Source organism: Homo sapiens, chromosome 5 (genome assembly GCF_000001405.40).
Source record: "Homo sapiens chromosome 5, GRCh38.p14 Primary Assembly".
Classification (NCBI taxonomy): Eukaryota; Metazoa; Chordata; class Mammalia; order Primates; family Hominidae; genus Homo; species Homo sapiens.
Window position 1 is genome coordinate 35,851,862 of NC_000005.10, and position 27,896 is coordinate 35,879,757.

The 27,896-nt window shown below is 39.5% G+C and overlaps 1 protein-coding gene across 6 annotated transcripts, besides 2 other annotated features; it reads left to right on the plus strand.

Annotated features, from left to right (window-relative positions):
- On the plus strand, window positions 5,030-27,742 carry IL7R (interleukin 7 receptor). Of its 6 annotated transcripts, NM_002185.5 has the most exons (8): window positions 5,030-5,198; window positions 8,991-9,129; window positions 15,445-15,602; window positions 19,195-19,352; window positions 21,619-21,787; window positions 22,588-22,681; window positions 23,651-23,726; window positions 24,122-27,742. In NM_002185.5, exons 1-8 carry the CDS (start codon window positions 5,117-5,119, stop codon window positions 24,623-24,625), a joined length of 1,380 nt encoding a protein of 459 aa, NP_002176.2. In that variant the 5' UTR covers window positions 5,030-5,116; the 3' UTR covers window positions 24,626-27,742. The 6 variants fall into 6 exon arrangements, 5 of the variants coding, with proteins under 5 accessions (NP_002176.2, NP_001424893.1, NP_001397663.1 ...); NM_001437964.1 differs by having other exon boundaries at window positions 23,651-27,742; NM_001410734.1 differs by lacking the exon at window positions 22,588-22,681.
- Window positions 8,832-9,333: an enhancer, noted in NCBI's record as "NANOG hESC enhancer chr5:35860795-35861296 (GRCh37/hg19 assembly coordinates)". NCBI's record gives its function as "activates a minimal SCP1, AML or CMV promoter by ChIP-STARR-seq in primed H9 embryonic stem cells {active_cell/tissue: H9 hESC(primed)}" and the evidence as "EXISTENCE:reporter gene assay evidence [ECO:0000049][PMID:30033119]".
- Window positions 17,907-17,956: an enhancer, noted in NCBI's record as "active region_22471". NCBI's record gives its function as "activates an Ori minimal core promoter by ATAC-STARR-seq in GM12878 lymphoblastoid cells {active_cell/tissue: GM12878}" and the evidence as "EXISTENCE:reporter gene assay evidence [ECO:0000049][PMID:35858748]".
- Window positions 27,743-27,896: the final 154 nt, after the last annotated feature.

Consider the following 27,896-nt stretch of genomic DNA (forward strand, 5'->3'; position numbering starts at 1 on the left):
TTAAGCTTGGGAAATTTTAGGCTAGCAGAGTTGTTCTTGGGGACTCCATTTGCACAGAGGACTGGGTTCTAAGAGAGCAGAGGAAGCTTCAGAGTAGAATTGAGGACTCTTGCCAGTTCTCCCAGTGGTCCAGATTTGGAAACGACCTGCAGGGTGTGGCCACCAACTGTGGTCCCTCAGGAACCACTCTGCAGGAATGGAGCTTACCCTGAGGCAAGTACTGTGTGCAGGGGCACGGGCCAGAACCCAGAATGGGGTTGCTTGATCCAGACTTTTCTCAGAAACACACTGGGGCACTGTGTCCGACAGTGGAGTGGGCAGCCGGAGCTGCTGTGAACTGTTTGTCCGCTGGGAAGGCCAGAGAGGGAGACACTGAGCTGCAGGGACACCACACTGGCTCCCGCTGCCCAAAGGGGCACTGTGACTCAGCCTTTGCCAGAAGGCATACCACTCTCACCACTCTTCCCAGGGTCAGCCCTCTTGTTCACTGTTTTATCAAAATGTGGGCATGTACTGAAATTGAAATACCACTCACTTTCTGGCAGAAATGTCGTCAGCAAAGAGTGAAATGTTGGTACTCAAAGTTTCCATTTTTATTGCATCCAGAGACAGAGGCTAAAATCTCATAAAGGTGAAAATAGTATGACATTTCAAACTCTGCCCAGAAAGAAGACAAATGGCAGCAAGACATGAGGCTGAAGACGTGGGGGAAGGAGGAAAGGGAAATGAAAGAAGAGCCACAACAAGGAAAATGTCATGCTCCTGGAAATGAAACTTCAAGATGCTGGGACTCCCCCTCAGAATCGTAGGGACTGACTCAGCACATGTTTATCAAATGCTAGAGACTATTCATTTAGGACCAGAGTGGCATTAGCTTTCCTACAGCCATCCTCACCTGCTTGACACCCTTGGATGTTGGGTTTTTTTGTTTGTTTGTTTGTTTGTTTGTTGTTTTTTTTTTCCACAGCTCTTGTGGTCCCCAGCCTCTCTCTTGAGCAGGGCTGGCTTTTTTTTTTTAATAAGATAGCTGGTGCCCAAGATTGTTTTCCACCTTAAGGATAAAACCTGTTAAGAAAGGTAAGTTGACAGTAGGTGGGGGCAGGTCATACAGATTTTATGACACATAGAATGTGTTTTCAGTATTTTTCAAACATCAGATTTTACCCAGGATATTACTGTTGCAACATTTACTGCCTGTTATTATTGCTGTTTCACTTATTGTCCTTCAATATATAGTCCCAAGGTGAGTGACTTTTAAATCATCCTCATTTAGGACAAATTGCTAAAGGCTTAAGGACTATTTTATAAGCTTCATCTAAAAACTGAGTCAGAGGAATGCTTTTGTCCTTGAAACAGTTTGTTTCCCAGGGTTCTCATGATACACTGGTATCTGTCCAACTAAATTCATAATTTCTGTAGAGAATAGAGTCAAAATTTCTGTTCCTAATAGATGGATCCAGATAGTAAACACTAGTAATAAGACAAGATGCTCAGCCTGAATTTTCCCAGGAAAACCTTTGTCTTTACTAATCAGAAAAAAAAAAAAAAAAGGAAGATCTGGGCTAGATTTTTATCCAGTTAACAAACAACAAACAACCAAATAATGGATACACCCCTCTAACATTTTAGGATCTCAATCTCGTTAAAAGATAAGTTCTCTTAACTTGCTAGGACTCTACCGGTTATATAGGAACACCACAGAACTTATTGCAATCTGAAGATAAAAGAAAGTCTTTTTTGTGTTTTGCCTGTTGGGCAAATAGCCTGAACAATTACAAAAAAGGAAGAAAAGGAGACTTGGCCAACTGGTGTCAGGAGTCTTAACAAGGTCAGTGTGTTCTGCTTGTGTATGAGAAAGAATCAAATGGCTTTTTTTTTTTTTTTTTTTTTTTTTGAGGCAGACTGTCACTCTGTCACCCAGGCTACAGTGGAGTGGTGCAATCTCAGTTCACTGCGCAATCTCGGTTCACTGCAGCCCTGAGTAGCCAAGACTACAGGCGGGCCCCACCACACCTGACTAAGTTTTCTATTTTCTGCAGAGACAGAGTCTCACTATGTTTACTAGGGCTGGTCTTGAACTCCTGAGCTCAAGTGATCTGCCCACCTCAGCTTCCCAAGGTGTTGGGATTACAGGCATGAGCCACTGCACCCAGCTGGCTTTCCTTTTTAATGATTCACTACATCATACAAACTCATCAAACTGAAGGAAGACAAAGTACAAAAGAGAGACGAGAAAATGTAGCCATGAAAGGAAGTGATGGGTGAAGAGGAGGAGAAGAAATATGGCCAAGTCAGTTGCCACGCCAAACTGCTTGCTTCTACCACAGTCCAATGCTTCCCTCCTGATTTCACATTTGGAGACTTGAGTGTCCCCAAATAGTGTTCCTCATCCTCTTTTCTTCTTTCTGTGCTTGTCTCACAAAAGTAATGACAAAGTAATATAGTAAATGTTTGTTACCTGGGGGATAGGGTGAACTAGGTGGTTCTTCCTCAGCTTTTCTAAGTCTCCAAAGGACTAACAAGACCTGAGTGAGGAAAGAGAGAAGGCACTGTTGTTCCCCCACAATCTCTAGAAGGACTGGTGACGCATGTCATTTTTCTTTGAGCTCCCCACACTTTAGGCTTCTCTCTGAGGTCTTTTCAGCATCTCCTGCCCCACCCAAGAGTAAGCACCCCTGTGGAAATCCCCAGAACAAACCAGCACATGCTGTACCAAAATATTGTGTCTTGGCTTTGTTCTTTTACATCTTCACAACTAAAGGAAAGAGATACAATCAAAATGATAGTCCACTTAAATGATAAACAAGAGAATTTAAAGAGACATAACCCAGTTACTCACCCATGAAGTGACAATCTGTTAGCAGTTTAGGAGATTTGCATTGGTAGATAGATATAATTTGGGATTTCTCCTTGAACATTAGCTTAATTCATGGGAATCTGTAATTATAGCTTTCTTGAAAGGGTATTTAGCTCAGTGTACAAAACATACCAATTTTTGTGAATCAGGCTTACAATTTTCTAACCAAGCTTTCAAAACAAGATTAGAAATGAGGGCATAAATTATTATCGATGCACAAAATTGTCACTCTTTATTTGGCTTGGAAGGGTTTTGAAATGCCCAGAGAAGGCCCTGACAAATGGAGAAGATGGAATATGTCCCCTTCAGTTGGATTCTTGCTCCGAAGTATTCCTTGAGCCTATACTCCAAAGTGTGGCATTATAACTGGTGCAGACGGAGTCTGTCTTAAAACTGAAAAGGAGGATCCAGAGACTGGTACAAATGTCCCACCTCCTTTTTTTGTTACTTCGTTATTGTCAAATAATTGTAATGATGGGACAAGCTAAATCATGAGTCTTTTAAAGTCTCTTCGATTTGCTTTACACCTGGGGGGTTGTTGCTTGTCTCTGCTAATTTTAGCCATTTCACAGGCCCATGGGAGCAATTCTACCTAATGACAGTGAATCCAACAGAAGTTCATAACTCACTGATCACTTAGTTTCTCTGCACTCCTCACCTTATAACTGCAGTCTTGTGGCATTTTTCCAAAAGAGAGCCACTGTGAATCAAGCATAGAGTTTTATGGCCTGAATCCAGGTTAGATTATTTTTTTCAAGAAAAAGAAAAAAAAATCTAACAGTTACCAAGAAGCAGTCAGGCTTTACAAATATCACCACTTTAACCATGAGGCCATATTAGGAAGGCTTTTGACTGGCATTCAGGTTTGGGGGAGTCTGAATTTTCTATGCCATGGTCTCAGATTTCTGCCCCATATACCTAGGCACTAATTTAGTTCATATGTACTATGTGTACCTGAAAAGTTGTGTGGCAATCAAATTTTCACAAATAGAATCCTGTTTTAAATACACTAAGAAAGTACCTACTTTATCCTTTAAACAAGAGGTCAGCAGACTTTTTCTACAAAGGGTCAGATAGTAAAGATTTTACACCTTTTGTACAATACAATCTCTATCTCATCTACTTAGCTCTGCCATTGTTGCATAAAAGCAGCTGTAGATGATACACAAATGGGTGAGGCTGTATTCCAATGAAACGTTATTTGCAAAAACAGGTGGTAGATTAAATTTGGTCCCAAGGCTTACTTGGGAAAAAAAAAGATCTTTTGAAAAAGAAAAAATAAATGAATAATTTTTTAAAAAATTGTTCCCTAGGTCATAGTTTGCCAGCCCCTGCCCTAAACAAATAATTCTTGAATGCCTACTGTGGTGTGTAAGATATGAGTAAATACCAGGGATACACAGAGAACAAAAGAGAAAAACTGCTATTCTTGTGAAACTTGGAAGTTGGAGGTAAGCTATTTAAAATAAACCCACAATAAAGTACTTCACATAGTGCAGACTGTTTCTTTAAATCAAAACTCACTCCAAACAACCAATTGATTCACTTTGTAAGTTTGAATTTTTGTCTTCAGATTCTTTTAAAGTGGGCCCTTAGTCAGGAGCGGTGGCTCATGCCTGTAGTCCTAGCACTTTGGGAGGCTGAGGCAGGCAGATCACTTGAGGTCAGGAGTTCGAGACAAGCCTGGCCAACATGGCGAAACCCCGTCTCCACTGAAAACACAAAAATTAGGCTGGCATAGTGGCATTTGCCTGTAGTCCTAGCTACTCAGGAGGCTGAGGCAGGAGAATTGCTTGAACCTGGGAGGTGGAAATTGCAGTGAGCCGAGATCATGCTATTGTACTCCAGCCTGGGCAACAAAGCAAGACTCTGTCTCAAAAAAATAAAAATTAAAAAAATAAAGTAGCCTCTAGCCTAAGATAGCTTGAGCCTAGGTGTGAATCTACTGCCTTACTCTGATGTAAGCACAGTAAGTGTGGGGGCTGCAGGGAATATCCAGGAGGAACAATAATTTCAGAGGCTCTGTCTCTTCATGTCCTTGACCTCTGCTTACAGCAGCAATACTTTTACTCAGACTTCCTGTTTCTGGAACTTGCCTTCTTTTTTGCTGTGTTTATACTTCCCTTGTCTGTGGTTAGATAAGTATAAAGCCCTAGATCTAAGCTTCTCTGTCTTCCTCCCTCCCTCCCTTCCTCTTACTCTCATTCATTTCATACACACTGGCTCACACATCTACTCTCTCTCTCTATCTCTCTCAGAATGACAATTCTAGGTACAACTTTTGGCATGGTTTTTTCTTTACTTCAAGTCGTTTCTGGAGAAAGTGGCTATGCTCAAAATGGTGAGTCATTTCTAAGTTTTCTTATGGATTTTGGATTATCTGTAGCATGGTTTCAGGTTATTCAGTTCCCTAACAGACCTGAGTCAGGCACTGGGTTTGAATGCAGTTTGAGAATTTCCCACATATTCAGTCATTTTTTTTAATGTTTAACCACCATGACAGGGGGCAGGGGATCAATACTATGGGTGGTTTATAAGACCTCAGTATTCTCAAGAAGGAATGCATTTCACTCCCAAGTGTAGATCTTAAATGTTGAATGATTACTCTGCTCTTACAAAAAGAATGCTCATGTAGATGCTATGACTGTACTTGTAGGAAAATGTCCAAAGTAATTTTACCTTGTCAGGAGATCAAACTGGATTCATTTTGTTTGACTTTTTAAGAAATCCTGAAAGCATAACTTTCAGGATAAGGTAATGTACAGAAGCAATAGCTTTGTCTTCAGTGACCAGTGCTATATCCTCAGCACCTAAATCAGTGGCTAGAATATAGTAGACATCCAATAACTTTTGAAAGTGTTTTCAAAATACTTTAGTTTTGAGAGATTTATGTGAGATTTTAAGTAAATAACTGACTAGAGAAAGATCTAAATGAGTTTACTCATTGAAATACACTGAATTGCCTCCACACCAACAAATTGGCCATATGTAATAATTCTTTTTGGGATCTAAAAAACTTAGTACCGAGAAGCCAACCCTGCCCATACATAAACACATTGTAATTATAACAAAACTAGGCAGAAGCTTCTAACAGCAGCAGGAGGCATGTGGGAATTTAGACCATCAACTTGCTCCTGCAAATTAAGCCCTTTCTCTTTAAGAGTTAAAAACTATTTGGCTATAGACAATATCAAACACATCAGCCTAATGACTCAGCTTATGCATTTTGAGTCATGTAATTACGAAGGATGGAAATCCCTAGAATTTTCTCATTAAGGGAATTGTCAGAGAGTTTGACATTTTTTACAGTATATGACTCACTTTATGGGGGATGATTATTATTCTATGCTAAACTTTGCCTTGGATTTCCACAAAGACTGATGGGAGGCAGGAAACATAAATCTTACTCTCTTTCATGTCATCTATACTCACTAGTTCACCCTGGTGATCATACTATTTTTAAAATATATAAGAATGCTAGTTGAAAGCTGGGTTTTCACTCCAACTTTTTAAGTTTCAGATTTTTTAGAAGATGTATAATTACCCTATTCACATGATTACGTCAAAATACTTCCCAGTTTGGGGTATAGGAATTCACATTCAGTTGCTGCTTGTTGAAAGTTGTCAATTTTCTGATCATCACAAGGATGATCAAGAGAAGAAAGGGATACTTTTTAAAAATCCAAATCATTTACACTATTAATCAACTAACTCCATTCAGTAGGAAGAAGACTTCTAGATGACACTGGCTTGCCTATGATACATATTCCACACAATTTAAATTTTTATGGATAAATATGTCTAGATACCTATTTAAATATGAATAATATTAATTATTGAGCATTTAAAGAATAATAGATTAACTCATTATTCAAAAGCTCTATGTAATTTCAAAACCATAGTAATTATAACACCGTCAATTGACATAAACTTTTTAAAGAGAAGCTCAAATGTTTCATGTATATTTTCAGAATTAGAATTCTTATTTTACCTTTTCATTACTTATTTCTCAGAAAATATTATACTCATAGCTAATCCCTATTAAATCCTTACTGTGTTCTAAGCTACCTCTTTGTAAATATCCATTCAGTGATTGCTCATAGCACGAGTTTACATATTAGAACACATGTCTTAGAGAAGTTGCCTACCTGACAGAGGACCACAGGTAGAGTATCCAGAATTTAAACGCACATCTGTCCAGCTCTAACACCACAGGTCTTAACCACTGTGTACATTAACTACTCTTAGCCAAGAATTTTTCAGCTCACGTCATGTAGAATATTCTTTTTGTAAAATGCCATCACATTTTATAAGTCATTGAAGGGAATTTTTCTTGGTTACAAAGCAACTCTGCCCCATAATATCTACTGAAAAGCCAGTGAGCTGCTTCCTAAAACACAGCCATTTTAGGTGCAGGAAACAGTGTATAAATGGCTCATTGTATATTGTATGCTTTGCCAGACTGAGTGGCAGTGGGAGTCCTTTGTTATGTGGGTGCTGACATCTGCTAGAGTGTGCTGTCTCTATTGAAGAATCGTGAAGACAAAGCCGACCCACAGGATGTCTGAATCCAAATAATAATACATGTTCTGTGTATAGAATTGGTGGAAGAGAAAATGTCAGGACAGTGTGAGGACTGCCATGTAAGGTCAGAACCACTGCATTTAGAAAGCTACCACTGCACAGGGAAGAAATCTAAGTCTACAAAATTAGTGGGCTGTCTCTCATTATTTCGTGCTGTCATCAGAAGGAGGGCCATACCCTGCTGAAACTACATAAAGAGCTTTTGCTGGTGGCAGAACTGTGAACTGGATGGATTCTGGGAATGGCCAGAAAAACAAATGCCTGTGGTTGTGAGCAGTGCCCACACCCATGGTCTAGCTAGGGCTGTTTGAGATTTGTTGCTTTGACTGAACCAACCTGTCATTCAACTGGTTGGTCCATTCACAGTCAGCTTTATTAACTTTCCCATTTTCCCTACTGAGTTATTTAAGTAAAGAAAGTGCTATTCGGACAGCCCTTGGTCTCTGGGACAATCAACTGGGATTTGATTTTAGTATATTCTGTCTCCAGTGTAAAGCCTTGGAAGCATCTAATTTCTAGTACTGATGAACCAAAAATACATGGAAGCAGTCCTAGGCTCACACTTGAGCACTCTGAGAATGGCTTTGCTTACTCCAGATTTTCTCAGGTCCCAGTGGGTGTATATTTTCTGACATATTTATTCCAGCCTCACTTTCTATCATGTAAAACATACATACAAAATGTAGATTTCATTATAGGGTCTACAAAACAGCTTAAGAAACCAAATACTATGTGTGACAGATCACACTTTCCAAAAGTAATAGCAAAAAAAAAAAAAATCTGGTTCCCCACTTTCTTCCAGCATCCTGCTAGAATCTATCAGATACTGCGTCTATAGAAGAATCTATAAGAACAGAAGCAGTATGTACAACATTCACAGGAAGTTTCACCAAATCGGAGTCCTGCCAGATCTAATTTTTTTTCCCTAATCACGTTTGTCTCAGTCAGTAGCTTAAGACAATGGAAATAATCAGTGCCACTTTTAATTGGGATGCCTTTTTAGGCAAGGGAAAGTGACCTCTTAAAAAAGCAAAATTCTGACTGCAAGATAGCTATCATTGTCCTTCATTTAAGACAAAAAAAATACTAGGGAGGGAATAAATTATGATTTGTAATAAAGTGAAAAGTGAGATTAGGTAGCATGGGGATAATGGAAATAAAGTGTCTCTTCTTTGAAATAATATGAACAATCAATGTAACAAATGTAGCAGAAAAAACTCCAGTTTAAATACAGAAAAGAATGTGTTCAATGCCTCTGGTTCTTTAACTCAGAAATATTTGGAGGTTACTTACTCATTATGATGGATTTTTTTTTTCTATTGGAAAACTCTGTTAGCATTGAGCGTTTTTGTTTTTTGTTTTTTGTTGGTTGGTTGGTTTTGAAGCATTTTTCTTGTCTTTGCCCTTGGGCTTTTCTTCCTTGAATACTACATAATCCATTACTATTTCATGTCTGCCACAGAGTCTGCTATTTTATTAAGGTCATGCCATATTTCAAAAGGATGCATTTATTTGTTTCATTAACAGCTGCATGTTTGTTCCTCCCCAGGAGACTTGGAAGATGCAGAACTGGATGACTACTCATTCTCATGCTATAGCCAGTTGGAAGTGAATGGATCGCAGCACTCACTGACCTGTGCTTTTGAGGACCCAGATGTCAACATCACCAATCTGGAATTTGAAATATGGTGAGGGATGGTGGTTTTAATGGTTGCTTAGACATCCTCTGTCTCTCTTTTCATATGCTCTTTTTAATAGCCACAAAAGAAAGAATATGTGGCCTAATTAACAAATGTTAACATCTAAGGAATTCCCAAAGGCCTCCTGAAACTCCTTGTCCTTCACCAAAAACACTCATACAAATCTCCTCTCACGGTTCAGCTTTCAGACCCTGAGACTCAGTCAAATGATGCTCTGGATCTTGGGGATCCCACATCCCTCCCAACTTCATATCAGAATTTAAATCCTGCGTCTCCTACAACACTTCTCACCAAAAATCTGTTTGCCCAACACGAGACAATCCAGTGTCTTCAAGTTGCATCTGAGAGTTAAACTGCCTTGTTTCCAATCCCAATACCAGTGCTTACTAGTTTTTTGACCTAGAGAAAGTTATGTAATGTATCTATGCCTCAGTTTCCTCACCTGTAAAATGAGATAACCTGCCTCACAGGAAGGCTGTGATGGTTAAATAATTTCATCATATAAATCATTCCAAATAGTCGGCCAGTGAATAACGAGTAATGGGGAAGCAACATTAAATTATAATTCTGTGAATATTGACCTAACTTCTACCATCTTGACACAATTTGACTTCAGATGATCCTCTCAATGTAAATTTTCCAAAAATCCACAGGAATAAGTTGGCATTTTGTTTCACAAGGTCTCACAGAAAAGACAAAGGAAAAGAGTCTGGTTTGAAAGTTTACTAAAGGTCTCAGGGAACTTTATCTTCTCCTTCTCCTTCATCCATAAGTCATCTCTTGTTGCCAAGGGTTACTATCTCTGGTGATTTGAGAAACTACTCTAGCTTGAAATTCTGACCTGAGGCTATCTCCAAATTCATATCCGAATGACCTACTTTTTAGTTAGTGTCCTAGTGAGCAAAGTAAATCAAGATCCACCAGTAGTAATAGAAGGCTTCCTACATTCCATAGACACTGAGACAATTCTCCACAGTCTATAGTCCAAACAAGCCCTGAATTCCAGTTTTTGTCAATTTATGGGAGCTTCCTGCATCTATTTATGGAGTGCTTTCTGCTGCAGTCCTTAGATAAACATGCTGTTGGACTTGAGTAGTGTACTGTGTTCTCTGTCTGCCTCTGTTCACTTCCCTAACACATTTTCCAGGAATAAAATATGTCAAAAGAACCTGAACCAGTTCGATGTCCACAATCTAGGCTGGAAATGGATTGCACTAAAACAGCCATAACAACTCATTCAAACAAGGCACTCATTTTCATGGGCAAATCACTCTCCCACACGGAGGTTTGACTTTGGCTTCTTTAACCAGCTGGCTGGTGGGCTGAGTGTTCATCCTGGTTTCTCTTGGCCAAGCTGAGGTTGACCTTTCTGTTCACTTTCATTCACACCATATTTGACCACTTCCTTGCCCACTCAAACATACTTACCCTTTAACATATCTCTTGACTTTTCCTGTCATATTGTAATCTGTCCAGAGCCTCCTCTATTTGGGTTTTCCAATTGGATTCAGATATTTCAGTTGGAAAGGGACTGCCTTAAGAAAGAAACGTTTTCAGTGGAAAATATATGTATGAGCTCTTTAATAGATGAACTCCTGGAGTTCAGAGCCCTTAAAAGGATGCCCAGTTTCACAAGACAGCCATACGGTCATCCTTGATTGTCCATTGCTCATTAATTTCATTCTCAAAATCATGGGAATGAGCTGAGAATACCATTTTAGATCCTCCTTAAATTCCCAACAGTACCAGAAACTTGCTACAGGTTGGGGCCTGTAATTGGATATTTCACACATACTTTCCTTACAAATATATTCTATACTCAAGAATTGAACTAAAAGTTATTGTCCTAGTTTCTCCACATCCCATGTTTACCTAAAATTCAGAAATGGGACCCCGCTCCCAGTCTCCCCTTCTATATTTATTTATCAAATCGTGACAACATTACCATCTTCAGATCTTTCCACCTGATGTTTGTCCTAAGCTTATTCCCTGGTATCTGTCTAGCTTACCCAAAAATTCGGTTTTTATTTTTATCCTGTTCCAAGTTGGGAAAGCCTATCTACCCCAACAAGGAACACAACTCCCTAGTAACTTTGAGACACACACACACATACACACCTACTCTTTAAAGCCTAAACAATCGCACACTCTAAAAGATAGCAGTTAACAAAAGTAACGATTTGGGAGAACAGTTTTAAGGAATGTCCCCAAAATAATCAATACATTTAGCCAGTTAATTAACTTAACATTTCTTCACCAATCTCTAGTTTTCATGACTGTAGGAGCTTAACCAGTCACTCTCAGACCACAATAAACCAAAGGTGAAAGATTCTGTAACAAAAGCTAGGGCACTCTCCCCTGCATTTAACCTCCTGGCCAGCTCACTCGAAGCCAGACAAACAGGTTCCTCTTTTTGTGCAGAGTCCAGGAACCATTCTCGAAAGGACTCATTTGAGCACATGCAGAGAAGAGTGTACACACATCCAGTTCACCAAGGGAAGCCAACACACATTGTGGGTTGTAGGTAGTAAAAGGCCTTCCTAGAACACACTCCTTAGGATTTAAACAAAATTACATCGGTTAATGGAAAGAATTCTTTCATATACGCAAACTTACCCAGAGGAACTTTTCTTCTGCCCAGATCTTCACTTCCAATTTGACCCAGTTATACCTCTTTAGAGCTATTTGGCTGAGCTTAAACAGCACATAGGAAAAACAAATTGGTAACTGTGTTTATCACAGAAGAGGAAAATTAAATTTAGGGTTGGGAAAGGAAAATAACCCTATGATATTACTTTTATTCTACCTTTACAATGAGAATATATACCTTTGTTACTTCTTTAATTTTTACATTATTTACTTATTTTTCTTTGCTTTCTTGTTTGATTACAATGCATTTTAGGGGTAAAATTTATGTGTGGTAAAATGCACAAAAATTAAGTGAATTTGGAGAAATGTCTATGACCTGTAGCCATTCCAATGGTAAAGATATAGAACTTATTTTTCCCCTAGAAGGATGCTTCATGTTCCTTTCCAGTCAATCTTCATACCCCAGGAGCAATCATAATTCTCAATTCTATTACCCTTTGGTTTTTGCCAGTTTCTGATAGTTCTTATTAATAGAATACTCTTTATTCTTTTCTGTCTTCTTTCATTTAACCAGTGTTTGTGAGAGTTAGCCATGTTGATGTCCATCTCATAGCTCATCTTTTCAATTGCTAAGTAGTAATTCCACTGTATGAATATACCACAAATTTTTAATTCTTTCTCTTCTTGATGAACATTTGTGTTTTTTCAAGTTTGAGACTATTATTTTTTAGGTTGCTGTTCACATTCTTGGACAAATCAGTTTGTGTATATATATTTTCATTTTTCTGGGGTATAAAACCTCAGAATGGAATTGCTGTGTCATAAGGTAAGCATGTATCTAAGTTTATAAGAAACCGCCCAACAGTTTTTCAAAGTGGTTATACCATTCTACTCTCCTTCCAGCGATGCATGAGAGATATACATCATTTGCAACGTTTGACTTTGGGATAGTATCTCGTTAGGTTTTTAATTCGCATTTGTCAAATAACAAATGTTGAGCAGCTTTTCATATACTTGGTCTTTTGCCTGTCTTCTTTGGGCTAGTATCTGTTAAAAGCACTGAGTTATTTGTCCTTTTGTTATTGCTGGATATGAGTTCTTTATACATTCTGTATACATTTCCTTTGTCAGATAGATGTATTGCATCTATTTTCTATTCTGAAGTTTGCCATTTTATTTTCTTACTGGTGCGTTTTAATAAGCAAGAGTTTTTTTTTATTTTGATGGAGTCTAATATATCATTTATTTTCTTTTATATGTAGTGCTTTTTGTATCCTTGCTAAGATAACTTTGCCTACTCCCAAAGTTGGGAAGATATTTTCTCATGTTTTCTTTTAAATGTTCTACAGTTTTAGCCTTTATATTTAGTTTTTTTAATTATTATTATACTTTAAGTTCTAGGGTACATGTGCACAACGTGTAGGTTTGTTACATATGTATACATGTGCCATGTTGGTGTGCTGCACCGATTAACTCGTCATTTACATTAGGTATATCTCCTAATGCTATCCCTCCCCCCTCCTTCCACCTATGACTGGCCCTGGTGTGTGATGTTCCCCTTCCTGTGTCCAAGTGCTCTTATCGTTCAATTCCCATCTATGAGTGAGAACATGCAGTGTTTGATTTTTTGTCCTTGTGATAGTTTGCTGAGAATGATGGTTTCCAGCTTCATCCATGTCCCTATAAAGGACATGAACTCATCCTTTTTTATGGCTGCATAGTATTCCATGGTGTATATGTGCCACATTTTCTTAATCCAGTCTATCATTGATGGACATTTGGCTTGGTTCCAAGTCTTTGCTATTGTGAATAGTGCTGCAATAATCGTACATGTGCATGTGTCTTTATAGCAGCATGATTTATACTCCTTTGGGTATATACCCAGTAATGGGATGGCTGGGTCAAATAGTATTTCTAGCTCTGGATCCTTGAGGACTCGCCACACTGTCTTCCACAATGGTTGAACTAGTTTACAGTCCCACCAACAGTGTAAAAGTGTTCCTATTTCTCCACATTCCCTCCAGCACCTTTTGTTTCCTGACTTTTTAATGATCACCATTCTAACTGGTGTGAGATGGTATGTCATTGTGGTTTTGATTTGCATTTCTCTGATGGCCATTGATGGCTAATATCCAGAATCTACAATGAACTCAAACAAATTTACAAGAAAAAAACAAACAACCCCATCAAAAAGTGGGCAAAGGATATGAACAGACACTTCTCAAAAGAAGACATTTATGCAGCCAAAAGACACATGAAAAAATGCTCATCATCAATGGCCATCAGAGAAACGCAAATCAAATTGTGTTTATTTGTTTCTCTTGTCTTATGCATTGGCTAAAACCTCCTGTACACCACTGAATAGAAATGGTGAAAGTGGATATTCCTGTCGTGTCCTGGTCTTAGGGAAACAATTCATGTTCACAATTTCAGCACTAAATATGATATTAACTATAGGCTTTTGTAAATGCTCTTTATCAGATTGAGGAAGTGTCTTTCTATTTCTTATTTGCTGTGAGTTTTTAACATGAATAGATGCATTCATGTTATTAAATTATGCTTTGAATGCATTGATTGATTATAACCAGGTTATTTATGTCTTCTAGTCTGTTAACATGGCAAATTATATTGATTAATTTTTGAATCTTTAACCTGCTTTGGTTTCCTGAGATGTGCCCTACTTTATAATTATGTATTAAAATTAGTGTGTTAGTATTTTCTTGTGAAAGTTTGCTTATACATTTTTGAGGGATATTTGTCTATCAACTTCTTTTCTCTAATATTTTGGCCAGGTTTGGGTACCAGGATTAAGCTAGCTTCAAAAAATAGGTTGAGAAGGGTCATTCCTCTTCCAGTTTCTAAAATAATTTGTGTCAGATTGACACTATTTCTTTCCTTATACATTTGATAGAATTTACCAGAATATAACCATCAAGCATAGAGTTTTCTTTGGGGGGAAGTTTATTGATAATAAGTTTAATTTCTTTGAGAGAAATATAACTGTTGAAATATTCCATTTCTATGTGGGTCAGATTTACTAATTTGTGTTTATAAAAACATTTTCATTACATCTAAGTTATTATATACATTAAAATAGCATTTAAAATTTCCTTATTATACTTTTAACATCTGCATGTTCTATAGTGATATCTCCTCTTACATTCCAGATATTAGTAATTTATATATTTTGTTTTCTTAACCACTCTTGTTAGGGTTCACCAGCCAAAATTACCTATAAAAATCCATTACGTTACCCATCAAGTATATGTGATATTATGTATATAACCCTTTATACTATGTTATCATTTTCTTTAACACTTTTTTTAATCAATATTTTTTACAGCTCTTATTTCTTACATATATTCCTATGGAACATCAAAAAAAGCAATTACTTTTTAATCTAAACAAAGTATTTGTTTTTCAGTGATCAATTATAAAAATATAGAAATTTCCCATAATTTTATAAATATGTCTTGACTATTTCAGGTTCAATTGCATCTAATTCTAAGTAAATCATCACTAAGTATCATAGCAGCAGAAAGCCATAAGATTTTAATTCATTATCTCTCATTCCTGAACATGCCTCCACTCACCCACCCACATACCTATGAACAGAGTTAAAGTCAAACATACATCAATGTGCATATGATACTATTCCACTGCATACAGGAACTCCTACCTGAATCAAGACATATCCCCTTTTTATTCCTACAGTGGGGCCCTCGTGGAGGTAAAGTGCCTGAATTTCAGGAAACTACAAGAGATATATTTCATCGAGACAAAGAAATTCTTACTGATTGGAAAGAGCAATATATGTGTGAAGGTTGGAGAAAAGAGTCTAACCTGCAAAAAAATAGACCTAACCACTATAGGTAAGAAGTTGTATATAAAAGTATGGTTGTCACTTTTGGGCTACCTGAAAACACTGTGTCTGGACATTCTGTAGGTTAAAAGTAGACAAATAGTGGAAACAACTGGCAATAGATAATAGCTAATTCCCTACTGTAAATTTTTATAATAAATGAAAAGCTTGAAATTTATACTTTCCTGCAGTGAAAGAATTCTGAGGATCTTCAAACCCAGGTGTGAAAGATAGTGTTTGTGCAAACCTACATGAAGTGGCTAACTGGAGCTGGGCTTCCTGTCATCCATCACAGGTGTCCTTTCCTTCCTTATCTGTCCTTTCCTTCCTTACCTGTCCTTCTCCCAAATTCCTTGTGGTCTTCTCCCCAAATCCCCACAACATTCTGAGTAAGTTTAGCTAACTTATCAAGTTATTTTAAAAAGCATATATGCCTTCTCTATTAGTCAGAGTTTTCTACAAAAAAAAAAGGGAATCAATAGGAGGATAGATAGATAGATCATTGATAGGAGAGATTTCTATTAAGAAATTGACTTTTGTGGTTGTGGGAACTGGCAATCGCAAAAATCCATAAGGCAAGCCAGTAGGCTAGAAATTCAGGAAAGAGTGCAGTATTGAGCCTAAATTCCGCAGGGCAAGAAACTCAAGCAGATTTTCTGTATTGTACTCTTGAGACAGACTTGCTTCTTCTTCAGGGAACCTCTGTCTTTGCTCTAGAGGCCTTCTACTGATGAGGTGATGCCCACCACATCACGGAAGGCAATCTACTTTACTCAAAGTTTACTGATTTAAATGTTAACCATGTCTTAAAAATACTTTTAGCATTCCCTATTCGCTCCCCCTTCAACCCTCAAAAAGAAAATTAAAGGTAAGAGAGCAATACTCATTAGAGATAAGAAAGAGTAAGAAACCTAGCTCAGCTTTGTCTCAGTTTTGTTTCACTAAGATGATAAAATAGAGAGGTAAAGCAGAAGTTCCATGTGTGAACAATTAACTTGTGAAAAGGCAAATGTAGTAGAAAAGAGACATTAGGCAGATGGCTGTGCATGTTGGCCACACAGAAGCAGCATTGGCCATGACCAGTGTGGGTCCTGGTTAGGGGAAGAGAACTGGCTTTGACAACAACAGGGTATCTCTGAGGTTATAAAAAGTTGGGTTCTGATCATTTGGAGATGAGGTCCCTATGGATAGGGCACCATATCTAAAGGTTCACCATTTACATTGCAAATATACATTCAGTTCTCTGAGAGTGAGCAGAGAAGGCAGAGGTTCTCAGTCTTCTGACAAGGTCCTGGAGCATCAGGGGAGAGCCCATTCTTACAAAACTCCACACCAGCATGCAAGCCCTTACATGCACATAAGCACTCACAACACACCAAGAGCCTCCAGGTGACATCTGCCACCTCCAAATCCCCATATCCCACATGCTCAATGCACTTGCAGTCTCCATCCCCCAGCAGACTGCAAATCTGACATGCCTCCTCCGAACGGCAAGGGGGAGAGGTACGTATGGTACACACACTGCTGATGGCATAGGCCCCTTTGGAAGGGGTAGTGTGAGTCTCTTGGGGCTATGGCAAGCACCCCTGGACAAGCAGGAAGAGAGGTGGTGGAGGCATGTCTCACGGTAGCATCTCCTTCTAGGTCCTAATGGGACACTTCATTAATGGAACTACCATTTAAGTGAGTTTAAACTGGATGCTTCTGATTGAGCCCCAGAGCCAGTGCTCCACTGCCACCACCTGCACCCTCACTTCCCCTTGTTTAAGCATCTTCCAACCCAGTAAGGCTGAAGAGGGAAGCATCCTGCCTTCCCACTTCTCTTAGCAGAGTAGATTGATATGATTATTCAGATTGTACAAGAATCTATTCCCTCTGAAGTATTGCTTGATGAATGAGCCCCTTTTTCTAATTTGCTCAAAGAAATCATTTGAGCTTGAGGAAAACTGTCCAGAGGGCACGAGGACCAGCCGTTGTGATATGTAACAAGGTAGAGAAACAAAAGCTAAATGAAGAAGAGTGAGCCTCAGAATCAAAGAACTGGATTTGGATCCCTTTAAACCATTTTACAGGGGCCTGAATGTAATTAACTTCTCTGAAATTCAGTTTCCTTATCAATATGCTGGTGATAAGTGACTATTGTTTGAAGACAGCATAAGCAAAGCATGCAGTACTTAGGAGATGTGTTCTTCCTTCAATTCCTCTATTATTAAAAGATGGGCACAGGGCAGGGGCTTCAGCTCAGAAGGCCTTGTTGAGAATGGAATGGAGAGCAGGAACAAGAGAGAGGGGCAAAGGCATTGCCAGCATTCTCTGTTCGGCTGTTCTCCACCCACTGCCTTTCCTCCTGCTTCCCTCTAAGTCCAGGGCATTTTCCCTTTTGATAAACTTCCCCTTTTACAACCCATCCAAGGGTGAAAAACAAAGTCATTACTTTTTTTTCAGTACCTCTAAGGCAAAGCAGCAGAAACAGGCAGTCACCACTACGAATAAGTGACTACAACAAGAGCTAGGCCAAACTCTGCCATGTGGGCTGCATTTTATTGGGCCGGCAAGTAACTTTAAATCCCAGCTCACACTCTACTGAGTGAAAGTCTGATGAACCCGCATCTTCTTGTGAACAACTGCGCCTGAGATCAGTCATGCAAGAAGTAGCACCCCCACCCCCAGACAACTAACTTCCCAGGCTGTGACCAACAAGCAGCCAAGAGGCCAGGACAGGGAAGTCTCAGGACCTTTCTAGGAAATCAATACCTTTCTCTGGGTTTGTTCTGCCTGAAATAATACCAATCTCCCTCCAACAGCTTAGCATGTGTGGAGCATTTGATACTAACAGCAACCCTGCAAGGCAGGAAGGCAGTAGGGAGAGGCCCAAGAGGAATTCAGCATTAAGGCAGTGAGACTGACAGAGGGGACCCCCTGAGGACATTCTGGAAGGTCTTAGCCAGGGCCAGGATGCAGACCCTTCATGTCACTGTAGCTGAGACGAGGTGCAAGGTTCACAGCATATAACCTAATTTTATTACAAGAATAAAGACTCAGAGTTTAAATACTCCTGCTTTGGGGCTCATTAGTAACAAGTTCTCCAATATTCAAAAGGCAAAGTGGATGTGTTTTAGTGTAAAATTAACACTAGCTGCTGTAACAAATAAGCCCCCAAACATATGATATCTCAAACACCGTAGGTTTATTTCTCACTCACATCAGAGTCAAAATGGATGTTTCTAACCTGCAGCTGGGGCTTCTCCCAGCAGTATTAGGGGCACTTTCCATCTTGTGGCTCCACCGTCTGTAATGCAGGACTCCAAGTGGTGGAAGAGGACGGAGCAGAGGAGTCACACATGGGTGTGTGTCTGGCCCAGGGTGGAAGTGGATGTGCATTTCTTCTGCCCACCTCACTCACAAGGCCACACCCCACTGCAAGAGAGGCTGGAGAATGCGGACTGGATTTAAACCCAAGAAGAAGAAATGGTTTTCTGAATAGTTGGCCATTTACTGACACAAAAAGGGTCAAAGTGACTTGCAGAGGAGATGAATTTTAAATACTATAATTATTTCCTTGGCTGCCCTTTAGACAGAATTTATTTCTTTTTCTTTTCCAGTTAAACCTGAGGCTCCTTTTGACCTGAGTGTCGTCTATCGGGAAGGAGCCAATGACTTTGTGGTGACATTTAATACATCACACTTGCAAAAGAAGTATGTAAAAGTTTTAATGCACGATGTAGCTTACCGCCAGGAAAAGGATGAAAACAAATGGACGGTATGTAGTTCAACTACATTAATAAAATAAAAACTTATGAATGTTTTCTATTTTGTTGGCCTAGTAGTGCATTTCCCCTGGGAGGGCCCAACAATTTTGCTTTCAAAATCTACCTTCTACTGAAAGAATCTCCCAATATTGGCCCCATGAAAACCTGGATCTTCCCTGATGCATACTCTTCTAGCTCTGGTTGTTTTCTTCTGCTCTAATTTTGGTCTTCAGAATGTTTCTACATTAGTGAGTTGGATAACAATATAGATTGAGGCCAAATTAATCCTCTGTATTCAGGGGCCTCAAAAAGTGTCATGTCTAGTGCCACTTTCATAGGCAAATCAGGCAAAATGTATATCTGCTTATGATCACCAAGTCGTAGCCACATTCTGGCTTATGAGATTCATGGGACCAGCATGAGGTAAAGAAAAGAGGCATAATGTTTGCCTTTGTTTTGTTTTTATTTTAAAGCCCAAGGTCTTTGTTTTTGAAGTAACAGCTTAATTTTTACCCTTCATAATCAGGAGAGTTACTTAGATGCTCTCTTCATGATTTGTTGAGGTTGGAATGATTTGGCAGTCCCTGAAATTTATTTTGGGGAGGAGGTGGCAGAAGAGTGGAGTGTACCAGGTTATGAGATTTCTCTTAACCCACCAACCTAACTTCTGTTCTTTCTGCACCTCAGAGATGAAGAAGAGATGATGATTTCTCTTCCTCAAGTCCTTCTTATTCTTGCTGTCCTGTTTTTTCAGGCCAAGATTGGCCTTGTTTGTTTGCAGTGTGATGCAAGATGCCACTTGCATAAATGTAACAACTGCCCCAAACCACCTGCTCCCTCCTTCTACTCACCCACCCCACCCTTGATCCTGCCATCTTTCATTATTCATCTGAAAATTGCACCAATTGAAAAGCAACTTAGTGGAGAAAGGAAGGATTATGAATAAATGCTGCCAGGACAATTAGTTAACTAAAAAGAAAAATAGATAAATTCAATAAATACATGAATTTTTTTGAGATGGAGTCTTGCTCAGTCATCCAGGTTGGAGTGCAATGGCGCCATCTTGGCTCACTGCAACCTCCGCCTCCCGGGTTCAAGCAATTCTCCCATCTCAGCCTCCCAAGTACCTGTGATTACAGGCACCCGCCATCATGCCCGGCTAATTTTTGTATTTTTGTAGAGCTGGGGTTTCACCATGTTGGCCAGGCTGGTCTTGAACTCCTCACCTCAGGTGATCTGCCCACCTCAGCCTCCCAAAGTGCTGGGATTACAGGCATAAGCCAACACGCCAGCCAAAAATTGTTTTAATTAAAAAAAATTAAACTAAATGCCTAGCCACCTTCATATAACAACAACAAAATACCAGATGATTTAAGGAAATTATATAAAAGTGAAACTCTAAACAAATTAGAAAAATTATAGCCAAATGTTTACATAATCTTGACATGAAGAAGAACATTCTAAGCATCAAAGCTGTAGAAGAAAAGAAAGGATTGAGACATGCAACTACATAAAAAGTGGAGGTTTATATATGTCAACACACACAATAATCAAAAATCAAAAATGCAAATTTAAAAGTAAGCTTAAATTGCCACATAAACAGCTGATAGATGGTTAGTATCATTAATAGATAAAGGACTCTTATAAATCATTAAAAAAACAAATATCACAATAGAAAAATGAGCAAAAAAATTGGGAAAAATCTCATAAAGTATGGAATAGATAAATTCAATAAATATATGAAAATGAACTAATTATCAAATAAATACAGATATAAATAGCAATGGACTTCTTTTTATCTGTCAAATTGATAGAGTGGTTTTTTTTTAATCTTAAAGATAATACACTGTGTGGTGGAGACTTTTGTCTCTTTATCACTATTCACAATGTAAAATGGCGTCTTTCTGGAGAGAAATGATTCCTGCTCACTAACCTAACCTAACCTTTCATCTCCCCTTAATATGTGAAAGGATAGAGAGAAAAGAAGAAGATATTGAAGTGTGGAAAGGGAGATCCTGGGCAGTGCCTAACTCACCTGAATAAGACCCATCATTTCACTCTCCTCCTTGACCACTCACAACATCCTTTATAAGCTCAGATTCTGTCCCTAATTTTGCTGTTGACTCCTTTACGTATCAGAGCTCCTTATTCTAACAAATACGAGACAACTTCAGAGAATGCTTATGGGACTAAAGGAATCCCAATTGAAATGATTTGGGAGATTTAGGCAACACCTCTTTTCCCATCCTAAGAATGTAACTGCACTCTACTCTCTAGCATGTGAATTTATCCAGCACAAAGCTGACACTCCTGCAGAGAAAGCTCCAACCGGCAGCAATGTATGAGATTAAAGTTCGATCCATCCCTGATCACTATTTTAAAGGCTTCTGGAGTGAATGGAGTCCAAGTTATTACTTCAGAACTCCAGAGATCAATAATAGCTCAGGTAAGGAATGGTGGTAGAGTTTTTGTTCCCTCAGAGTGCTTTGCATGTCAAAGTGTGGGAGCAAGTGAGAGGAAGATTGTTGAAACTAACCTGCAAAATAGGACACCCTTGGAGGGCACTCTTACACTTTCTTTGGAGAATGACTTGCCTGCTGTCTTTGCGCCTTTTGTGAAGAACAAGGAAGCAGAGGGAGTGGGGTCCTTATTAGCTGAGAATTAGTACAAGCCATCTGTATTCCTGGAAGCTGCCATACATTTTGAACAAAATCCCCACCCACTACGTCCAGTTAACCAATTTAGCCTGGGACCCCAATGGCTGCTGTCTCTAAGGCCCCTTTAAGAAGCACCTTTATTGGTGTCAGGTATGCAGGCAAGTGCGGCTGTCCTATGTCTCCTTTTCCAGAAGGATGAAGATGTCTTTGGGACTGGAACTGAGAATGTGTAGGAACTGAGACATCTCCTCCCTAAAATTTGCAACAGGGGTGAACATCCCTCTCATCATCTCCTGCTCTGGCTTCTTTTCCTTGGTAGAAAGTCAAGAAGGGAAGAGAGCATTGGTACCTTTGATGCTAGATCACGTTTACATTTCAAGTGGCAGATGCTCTGGGCCTGGTCACCCAAGTCAATGCCTTTTAAACCAAAATCCCTCCATAAAGCTGTCAAATATGTCTCTTAACTGAAAAGCAACTTTCAGGAAATAATAAGTGGGCCCACATTACTAAGTAAATGCAAAGCACCCTGAGACCCTACCCCCACTGCATGGCTACTGAATGCTCACCACAATCTATTCTTGCTTTCCAGGGGAGATGGATCCTATCTTACTAACCATCAGCATTTTGAGTTTTTTCTCTGTCGCTCTGTTGGTCATCTTGGCCTGTGTGTTATGGAAAAAAAGGTGACCTTCTTCAACTAATAAAGAGGGTGATTGTGTGGGATCACGGACAGTCAGAGCTTAAGCCCCATTTATTGATGAGAAAACCACAAAGGGGATTAAGGCATTTCACGAATTTAGTGCCCAGTATCCCTATCTATCCTCAGCGAATTTCCACAGTTAATTTCATAAGAGGCAAAAAGATATTAACTGGACATTAGGCAAACGCTGTCCCCAAAGTAAGAATTCCGTAATGCAATGTTTCCCAAGCTTTTCTTCCAGTATCTCCTAAAGGTTGCAGAAGCCATCATTCATGGCAAATGCACAATGTACTTGAAGTCTTGACTTTAAGCATATAAATTCATGGGATTTTTTATACTAATCCATGCTAAGGCTATGTTTGTTTCATCATAAAAATGATGTTTTAAACATGCACTTGTTAAATTACTTACTATTCTAGGAGAATGCCCTTGGCAGAAGGCTACATATCCCCAGGATTACAAATACCCTAATTTGAAAAGTACTGCCTGGAAAGTACTAAGCAATTTCCCTGGGTAATTTGAAAATATTCCCCCACTTCCACCAAAATTAGCTGCCAGAGTTGCTGTCAGTAAAGAGAAGAAATAAAAAGACAACACTTAAATTGGGAGTAAACAACGGGGTTAAATTTACTTCCATAGCTGCACCAAAATTACCTCCTTGCAAGCCTTGGTGTTCCTTCCCTCTAGGGCTTTTTCCCAGAGGTATATTATTGTCATGTCTTGTTCACAGAATGGATTGATATCTGTGGTCTCTGGTCCAACCCCTCCTTGAATTGATAGGGCCCCGAGGCCCAGAGAAAGCCAGTCTCTTGACCATGGTCACCCACCTAATTGTGTTAGAGCCAAGACTAGAAATCTGTTCTTCTGATTCCAAGCTCAGAATAAGTGGGAAGACTCAGTGTGCCTGTGCCCTCTGCCATTCACTTCATCTATCAATGTTCTCTGATTTCAGGATTAAGCCTATCGTATGGCCCAGTCTCCCCGATCATAAGAAGACTCTGGAACATCTTTGTAAGAAACCAAGAAAAGTGAGTGTTTTTGGTGCTTAAAAAGTGTTGTGTTGGCAACATCCCAGTGGCCAAGAATGATATTCCAGGACAAGGAACAGTTGAACCTCACCTTTTGGTATTTGATTCATCCTGTAACTAGGGTCCCTCCTAAGACCCTAGCTGCAGTAGGGAACTGAAATAAGATACACATCTCAGAACTTCTGGGCTCCCTGGGGCTGGAGGGCACAGCCAGTGGTCACTTCAAGTCTTGAAGTGTCTCAGAAGCTCCAGAAGCAAAGAGTCCATTGAGGAACATGCTGGCAATTCTGTGACATTCCCTGTCAGAAAACTCTATAGACCTACTCCTGAACTGAACATTTGATGGTGTGTCTCTCTGGTGCCATCTTAATACCCTTTCTCCTTTTTCTGTGCAGAATTTAAATGTGAGTTTCAATCCTGAAAGTTTCCTGGACTGCCAGATTCATAGGGTGGATGACATTCAAGCTAGAGATGAAGTGGAAGGTTTTCTGCAAGATACGTTTCCTCAGCAACTAGAAGAATCTGAGAAGCAGAGGCTTGGAGGGGATGTGCAGAGCCCCAACTGCCCATCTGAGGATGTAGTCATCACTCCAGAAAGCTTTGGAAGAGATTCATCCCTCACATGCCTGGCTGGGAATGTCAGTGCATGTGACGCCCCTATTCTCTCCTCTTCCAGGTCCCTAGACTGCAGGGAGAGTGGCAAGAATGGGCCTCATGTGTACCAGGACCTCCTGCTTAGCCTTGGGACTACAAACAGCACGCTGCCCCCTCCATTTTCTCTCCAATCTGGAATCCTGACATTGAACCCAGTTGCTCAGGGTCAGCCCATTCTTACTTCCCTGGGATCAAATCAAGAAGAAGCATATGTCACCATGTCCAGCTTCTACCAAAACCAGTGAAGTGTAAGAAACCCAGACTGAACTTACCGTGAGCGACAAAGATGATTTAAAAGGGAAGTCTAGAGTTCCTAGTCTCCCTCACAGCACAGAGAAGACAAAATTAGCAAAACCCCACTACACAGTCTGCAAGATTCTGAAACATTGCTTTGACCACTCTTCCTGAGTTCAGTGGCACTCAACATGAGTCAAGAGCATCCTGCTTCTACCATGTGGATTTGGTCACAAGGTTTAAGGTGACCCAATGATTCAGCTATTTAAAAAAAAAAGAGGAAAGAATGAAAGAGTAAAGGAAATGATTGAGGAGTGAGGAAGGCAGGAAGAGAGCATGAGAGGAAAGAAAGAAAGGAAAATAAAAAATGATAGTTGCCATTATTAGGATTTAATATATATCCAGTGCTTTGCAAGTGCTCTGCGCACCTTGTCTCACTCCATCCTGACAATAATCCTGGGAGGTGTGTGCAATTACTACGACTACTCTCTTTTTTATAGATCATTAAATTCAGAACTAAGGAGTTAAGTAACTTGTCCAAGTTGTTCACACAGTGAAGGGAGGGGCCAAGATATGATGGCTGGGAGTCTAATTGCAGTTCCCTGAGCCATGTGCCTTTCTCTTCACTGAGGACTGCCCCATTCTTGAGTGCCAAACGTCACTAGTAACAGGGTGTGCCTAGATAATTTATGATCCAAACTGAGTCAGTTTGGAAAGTGAAAGGGAAACTTACATATAATCCCTCCGGGACAATGAGCAAAAACTAGGACTGTCCCCAGACAAATGTGAACATACATATCATCACTTAAATTAAAATGGCTATGAGAAAGAAAGAGGGGGAGAAACAGTCTTGCGGGTGTGAAGTCCCATGACCAGCCATGTCAAAAGAAGGTAAAGAAGTCAAGAAAAAGCCATGAAGCCCATTTGGTTTCATTTTTCTGAAAATAGGCTCAAGAGGGAATAAATTAGAAACTCACAATTTCTCTTGTTTGTTACCAAGACAGTGATTCTCTTGCTGCTACCACCCAACTGCATCCGTCCATGATCTCAGAGGAAACTGTCGCTGACCCTGGACATGGGTACGTTTGACGAGTGAGAGGAGGCATGACCCCTCCCATGTGTATAGACACTACCCCAACCTAAATTCATCCCTAAATTGTCCCAAGTTCTCCAGCAATAGAGGCTGCCACAAACTTCAGGGAGAAAGAGTTACAAGTACATGCAATGAGTGAACTGACTGTGGCTACAATCTTGAAGATATACGGAAGAGACGTATTATTAATGCTTGACATATATCATCTTGCCTTTCTTGGTCTAGACTGACTTCTAATGACTAACTCAAAGTCAAGGCAACTGAGTAATGTCAGCTCAGCAAAGTGCAGCAAACCCATCTCCCACAGGCCTCCAAACCCTGGCTGTTCACAGAACCACAAAGGGCAGATGCTGCACAGAAAACTAGAGAAGGGGTCATAGGTTCATGGTTTTGTTTGAGATTTGTTGCTACTGTTTTTCTGTTTTGAATTTTCTTCTTTGTTCTGTTTTTACTTTATTTAGGGGGACTAGGTGTTTCTGATATTTTAGTTTTCTTGTTTGTTTTGTTTTGTGTTGTCTGTGAATGGGGTTTTAACTGTGGATGAATGGACCTTATCTGTTGGCTTAAAGGACTGGTAAGATCAGACCATCTTATTCTTCAGGTGAATGTTTTACTTTCCAAAGTGCTCTCCTCTGCACCAGCAGTAATAAATACAATGCCATAATCCCTTAGGTTTGCCTAGTGCTTTTGCAATTTTCAAAGCACTTCCATAAGCATTCCTTCCACCTCCTTGATAGGCATTTATGGAAAGCCTGCTACATGTCAATCATACTGTTAGGCACAGGGGACCTAAAGACACATAAAAGGATGGCATTCTGCCTCATAAATTGCAAAACCTAATGAAAGTGACTGCTTGGTAAACAAATTATTATTATATTATAAAATGCTATAAAAGAGCCATATTGAAAGTGCCCTGTTGGAGACAGGGCAAATGCCACAAAAATGATGTAAATTTACATGGAGGAAAAGTAGAATCTGCCTGGTTTGTAGGCAGCAGAAGACATTTTTCATCAGTGGGCAGGTGTTCTTTACCTTTTGTAGAAATGGGAGTCAAGTCTCAAATAGGAGGCTCCACAAAATCTCATGCCAGGTCTCTGATACCTTATTCACAGAAGTTCTTTGAAGTATTTATTGTTATTTTCTTTGACTTATGGGAAAACTGGGACACAGGAAGACAGGTAAATTACCCAACCTCACACGTTAAGTCAGAACTGGGAGCCATAATTTTGTATCCCTGGTATAAATAGACAATCTCTTGAAGAAATGAAGAGATGACCATAGAAAAACATCGAGATATCTCCAGCTCTAAAATCCTTTGTTTCAATGTTGTTTGGCATATGTTATCTTTGGAATTTAGTGTCTGAGCCTCTGTCTGTTACTGTAGTATTTAAAATGCATGTATTATAATCATATAATCATAACTGCTGTTAATTCTTGATTATATACCTAGGGACAATGTGTAATGTAAGATTACTAATTGGTTCTGCCCAATCTCCTTTCAGATTTTATTAGGAAAAAAAAATAAACCTCCTGATCGGAGACAATGTATTAATCAGAAGTGTAAACTGCCAGTTCTATATAGCATGAAATGAAAAGACAGCTAATTTGGTCCAACAAACATGACTGGGTCTAGGGCACCCAGGCTGATTCAGCTGATTTCCTACCAGCCTTTGCCTCTTCCTTCAATGTGGTTTCCATGGGAATTTGCTTCAGAAAAGCCAAGTATGGGCTGTTCAGAGGTGCACACCTGCATTTTCTTAGCTCTTCTAGAGGGGCTAAGAGACTTGGTACGGGCCAGGAAGAATATGTGGCAGAGCTCCTGGAAATGATGCAGATTAGGTGGCATTTTTGTCAGCTCTGTGGTTTATTGTTGGGACTATTCTTTAAAATATCCATTGTTCACTACAGTGAAGATCTCTGATTTAACCGTGTACTATCCACATGCATTACAAACATTTCGCAGAGCTGCTTAGTATATAAGCGTACAATGTATGTAATAACCATCTCATATTTAATTAAATGGTATAGAAGAACACTTTGTGGCATGCCTGTTTTCTCTGGAAACTGTGGTTAGACGGATTCCCAGAATGGACCACACATCTCTTCAGCTCCTGAAAACTCACCTCCCCATGAGTCCATGGAAAAAATTGTCTTCCACAAAACCAGTCCCTGGTCCCAAAAAGTTTGAG

Coding starts and splice junctions, on each gene's coding strand:
- IL7R (NM_002185.5), top strand. CDS start 5,117: ATGACAATTCTAGGTACAACTTTTGGCATGGTTTTTTCTTTACTTCAA. Junction 5,199..8,990: donor AAGTGGCTATGCTCAAAATG/GTGAGTCATTTC, acceptor GTTCCTCCCCAG/GAGACTTGGAAGATGCAGAA. Junction 15,603..19,194: donor AATAGACCTAACCACTATAG/GTAAGAAGTTGT, acceptor TTTCTTTTCCAG/TTAAACCTGAGGCTCCTTTT.